This window comes from Homo sapiens, chromosome 2, assembly GCF_000001405.40.
Source record: "Homo sapiens chromosome 2, GRCh38.p14 Primary Assembly".
NCBI classification, from domain to species: Eukaryota; Metazoa; Chordata; class Mammalia; order Primates; family Hominidae; genus Homo; species Homo sapiens.
Genome location: NC_000002.12, coordinates 55,158,547 through 55,164,103, shown reverse-complemented (window position 1 = coordinate 55,164,103; position 5,557 = coordinate 55,158,547). Strand labels below are relative to the sequence as shown.

The window sequence follows — 5,557 nt, the reverse complement described above, 5'->3', positions numbered from 1 at the left end:
TCCCCGCGAGACTCTGAGGTCCTGAAGAGCCAGGATAAGTATTTGGTCACTGTTGTTTTCCTTGGCACATGGCAGACCTTCAGTAAATAAATGGGTAATGAATGAGCATCGGAGTAACCTGCTGAGTGACTTGGCAGTGAAGGTTGCAGCAACCTGGAAGTTGGAGGCAGGTAAATACAAAAGAGAAGGAGAAGTTTTGGATCTCCCAGACTTAGACAGGTACCCTGAAGTAAGAGGAGGGAGTTATGTCAGAGCCTAGGGACAGAGAGGCACCATTTGAAGTAGAGGTCAGCTGTAGACACACTGCAGGAGACGATCCCAAACAAACTTGACCTTCTACCAAGTACATGGACCTGACTTATTCAGAACAAGGCAAAAACCAAAACAAAACCTTAAAAAAGGCCTACCCCCAAACAGGAATTCCCCCAGACTCACGGTAATGCTGTAGCTACACAGCAGAAAGAACAAAGAAGTGATCTAAGCATCCTGAAATTGAAACGGCTATTGCTAAACGCAGGAGAATCAGCAGAATCATTAGATTCCAGAAAATGCCGAACCTCTGAGGCCTCTGTTTTCTTCCATCCTGATGTTAGATTGCTGGCAGCCCACGCTGAGCTGCTTTATGAGAATGTGCAGCTAGGCCACTGCCTCTAGAAAGATGAGGGAGGAAGGAAGGGCAAGCTTGACTTGCTTGGAATGTGGAAGCTCTGTGTCGAAGATGAGTGAATGAGCACCGGGCACTGCTGTCTCTCTGCTCCTGCTGACGAATGAGGATATGGCTGGCCCTTTCAGCTAATTAGATGCAGACATGGGTATCTCCGAGTATATATATCAGTCAGGGCCCGCCTTACAGGAAAATAGAATTTATCCATAAAGGTTCAAATAAAAAGACGTTAATAAAGAGATTATTGCCAGAGATTTGGGCAAGGTTAAGAGAACCACTAAGGAATGTTGAGTACCCAGAGGCTGCCTCAGTCAGGAACCATTACCTCCCATGGAGACAGGGCACGAGGAGGAAGGAAATCACAGTACCAGAACCAGGAAGAGCTAGAACTCTGAGAAGGAACCTCTGTGGGAGCTGTCATCATGCAGGGCAGGGATGCAGGGACATGGCTTTCAGCCACTGTCAGAGACAAGGCACCAAAGAAAGGAAGGGGTGAGGAGGAAAGATACCCCATCATCACTGGTGTTATCACTGAGGAAGGAAAGGGAAGCAGAAAGGCCTGAAGCCTGGTGGTCCTGAACAGCACATGTGGGCCGGGTACATGGGGTGCGTGGCTTATCGAAGATATGGATCTCTGTTGATTGGTCTGTTTCCCCAACTGAGAGGCTGGGATGGCTTCTGTGCAAGCTGGTGTGAGTGACCCTCCAGCGATTTGGGGGCAGCAGGCAGCCGACACTGTCATTAAGTTGACTTTACTGTAAGGTAATCCAGGCAAGAGTGGACATTTGATCTGGAACACAAGGTCTTATCACCAAATAAATATTTTATCATTCAAGTCCCCTCTGAGCTGATGCAGGGACAGGGCTTTTGTGCATGTCTGAGCCCTCTGCCTCCTCTCGGAAGTCCAACGACCCCTGTTCAGGGAAGGGGGCGGGGCTGGGGCTGAGCCATTAGAGGAGGTGGGAAAGGGGTGAGTCAGGAGACAGGGGCTGGGTTTTCCTTTCAGGACTTCTTTTCTTTTCAGAAAGATCAAATGCGATAACACGTGAAAGCATTTTGGAAGGCAGAAAATATCATAACAAACCGACCATGTCTTTTCAGAAAATGTCCCTCAGGAGGTCTAAACCATAGCTGAGCTGCTTTTATTCATTCATTTAACAGGTATTTATTGAGCACCGGCCATATGCCAAGGGCTTATTTTCTGCCTTATGGATTGGCAGGGTTCTTTGCATATTCTTTTCCACTCAGCCAGCCTGAACTTTAGAGGTTTTATGTTAACCTGTGCTGTCTAGGGTTGATGGGGAGTATAGAAGAAAGTAAAATGCTTGTCAAGGAGTGACGGGAAATATGTTGGCGGAAATGAGATTTCAACACCCGCTTCTCATTACCTCCAGCCTCATTGGCATTCTGCCTTTTTGCTAAGGAGCTGCAGGCTGGGTCTGCATAGGGAGCGAGGCCTTGAATGGCACTGCAGGGCACCATGGCAACCACACAGGTTTGCCACTAGGGAGTTCGTGTCAGGTTGTACCTTGAAGCTCATCAACTGTGGGCTCAGAAAAAAAAAAGAAGAAGAAGAAGAAGGAAAAGAAAGAAACGCTTTCCCATTCTGTGAGGTGGAGAAAAGGGGAAGGGAGGTCAGTGTGATGGATACAGCTCAGACAGGGTGCTGTCAGTAGGGATGCATGCGTCAGCGAGGACGTTTCACTTTCAATAGCAGCTCTGCTTGCTGGGAACTTGGGATGCCGGGCCCTAGCATGGATAAAGGCACACATGCCTAGCTTGGGTTATGAAATGCCAGGATGTCCTGTCAGGATGTTTGTCTTTGAGCAAGAATCAAAGGAGTAGATGGCTTTCCCCTGGTGGGGCAGTTCAGGAATCCCTGCTTGTCTTGAAGGGGAACCCCTTTGAGCAGGTCCTGGATAAACCACCCACTTCCCCCATGTCCTAGACCCATTGCTTCTGGGTGAGTAATGTTTTGCTGTTTCTTTCTCTAGTCAATAAATCAATCCTCCCACCTCATTCATATCCTGGTAAAACATGGTGGGTGCCCAGTATATGCCTGGGTTATCTGATGAAACTAGCCCTAATCCAGAAGAAAGTTGTTTGCAAAGTATCACTAAATAAGCATAAAATAGTGTCCTTACTGTAACAGAAAAGGGAAAGAAATGTAGGGCAGGGTCTTGGGAACTTGATGTACCTTGGTACTTTAAAAAATGCCCCAACTCAAGGATCCTGCGACCTGGTGAGGGAGACAGAAGCAAAGTCCTTGTTGTGGGCCCCACCACCACCTAATTTTTCCCAGAGGAAGGCCAAGGACTCCGTGGAGTCTCAAATACCTCAGAGTGAGCCTTGTCTGCTAGGAATTCGTGCTTCTGTACCTCTCTCCTTTTATCCTGCCTTCTTGTCATCCTCACAGCAACATCTTTAAACACATCTGGTCTGTTTATTTGCCTCATCTGCAGGCAGGCCAGGTAGTTGAGTAGGAGCCATGTCTAATGGTTAAGCAGGGCTGATGCTGGATGAGGAGGAAGGTACAGTAGCCTTCTCCTCCTCACTATCATTACTTAAGAGGGGCCGAATGATGATGATGACTGACAGCCCTTCAGGGGATTTATCTTATTTCAGCCTCTGTTTGCAGAGGTGCTTTAGGACTTTATAAAGACCCTCCCAGAGCTCTGGCAATTTGTCTTTTCAGTTTCTTAGATCCAGGATACTACTTGGGTTTAGAAAGTTTGCTTGTTTGTGCTGCAGGAGGTGGTGGCTGCCGGGTTCTTGGAGGAGAGGACCCATTGGTTGGCTATTTCCATAGGTGCTGTGTTGGCTGCCCAGTCGGTATTGATTTTTAGATTGCTCCCATAATCACACTGCATTATGCTGCACTGGCCCAGGGCCTGGGCAGGCCTTTTAACTTGAAACATTTGTTCTCTGGAAGGTGCTGGTTCTCTCTTCCTTGGCTGTCCCTTCCAGGTCTCCTGGGGTTCCCAACTTGTCACTGACATTCTTCCTACTGGCTCATTTGAAAAGGTCTGAGAGTGGCATCAATGCTGATGATTTGCTAGGCACAGCAGCTTGGCTTCAGCTCTTAAAGTTGCTTTAGTTTTGGAATGTATGGTGGGAAGGGGCTGAGCCGAGGCAAGTTCTTAAAGAAAGATCATGCATTTACATCAGAAACCTGCAGTGTTTAAGAGTTTGAAAATACCCTGGTTAGAAGAAATATACTGTATTTGGAAATAAAAATAAGGATTAGTGGCCAAGTTTTTCTTTGCAAAATTAGCACTTCAGCCATACTGTTGGGAGCATTTGATGATTAAGTGAAAGGGGTTCCAGCCTGGGCTACATCGTGAGACCTTGCCTCTACTAAAAATTAAAAAAAATTAGCCAGGCTTAGCCAGGTGTGGTGATGCACACCTGCAGTCCCAGCTACTCAGGAGGCTGAGGCAGGAGGAGTACTTGAACTCATGAGTTTGAGGCTCACTCTCACATGGCAGTGAGCTATGATTGCGCCACTGCACTCCAGCCTGAGTGACAGTGAGACTTTATTTCATAAAAAAAAAAAGATAAGAAAGAAAGGGGTTGTGCTTTTTAAGAAACAGACATAAAGGTCTTAGAAGAGTCCTGGGTATGTGGGAAATACTATATAAGTATATAATATATATTTTGTATAATAAAATATACAGCAGAACCAATGGCCAGAATGGAACTGGAGGAGCTGCAGATAGGCATATGCAGCTGGCATAGAGAGAGCTATATTTGGGGTTTAGGGAAGGTTGTCATTGATGGTGCAGAACAAGATGTACGAGAGGCTGATGCTCCCTGAGAATTCATGAATTGCTGCTGGGAGGAAGGGATGCCCCCTCCCTTAGCTGAGTACCCAGTGCATGTTAGGTGTTTCACAGACATCATCTCAATGAGTCAGCACCATATTCTATGAAGCAGGTGTTGCTGTCACTTTTTTACAGATGAGAAACTGCCAAGGGTCACACAGCTGCTGTGCGGAGCCACCTCTTCCTCTCTGAGGAGGAAATTGGAGCAGAGGACAGATCTGGGCCTGTTCTCCCTCCGACCTTGTTGTGGGGAGGGGCAGTACACCCTCAATCCCTTCCCCAGTAGGCTCAGGGCCACACATGGGAAGCAGGTCCCTGCCCAGTGGAAGTGGAGGGGGCAAGGTCATAGTGGTGTCACTTTAGCATGTGCTCACGGGGCTGAGGCTGCCCTCTCCCTGGAGTACTCTAAAGCTGCCCCTGACTTGTTGCTCTCCCTCTCTCCAAGGACTTGTTGGCCAGAGGCCCAGGCTCTGCTCATAGAGAACTGACTGATTTCCCAAAATAGGAAGCCTCAGCACCCACCCATTCTCTTCCTTCAGCTGAGCTGGGTGGGGGCCTCCTTAGTATAAATCTCTCTTTATAGGTATGTTTTACCAGAAGAAACTTTGGCAAAAAAGAGTGGGGCTTGGCTGGGTGCGGTGGCTCACGCCTGTAATCCCAGCACTTTGGGAGGCCGAGGCGGGTGGATCACCTGAGGTCGGGAGTTCGAGACTGGCCTGACCAACACAGAGAAATCCTGTCTCTACTAAAAATACAAAAATTAGCTGGGCGTGGTGGCAAGCACCTGTAATCCCAGCTACTCAGGAGGCTGAAGCAGGAGAATCGCTTGAACCTGGGAGGCAGAGGTTGCGGTGAGCCGAGATTGCGCCATTGCACTCCAGCCTGGGCAACAAGAGTGAAACTCCGTCTCAAAAAAAAATAAAAAAATAAAAAAGAGTGTGACTGACTGGATACCTGTGGTCGTAGGGCCAGTTTGTAGCCAAGGAATTTATAGCCATTGAGCCTGGGGATTAACTGGAGTGACAGAGGGGTGGTGGTTGCACAGAAGTCTGTGCAGTCCCTGATTGAA

At 47.9% G+C, this 5,557-nt stretch overlaps 1 annotated feature.

The window, feature by feature from the left end:
* Positions 4,718–4,787: an enhancer, noted in NCBI's record as "active region_15776". NCBI's record gives its function as "activates an Ori minimal core promoter by ATAC-STARR-seq in GM12878 lymphoblastoid cells {active_cell/tissue: GM12878}" and the evidence as "EXISTENCE:reporter gene assay evidence [ECO:0000049][PMID:35858748]".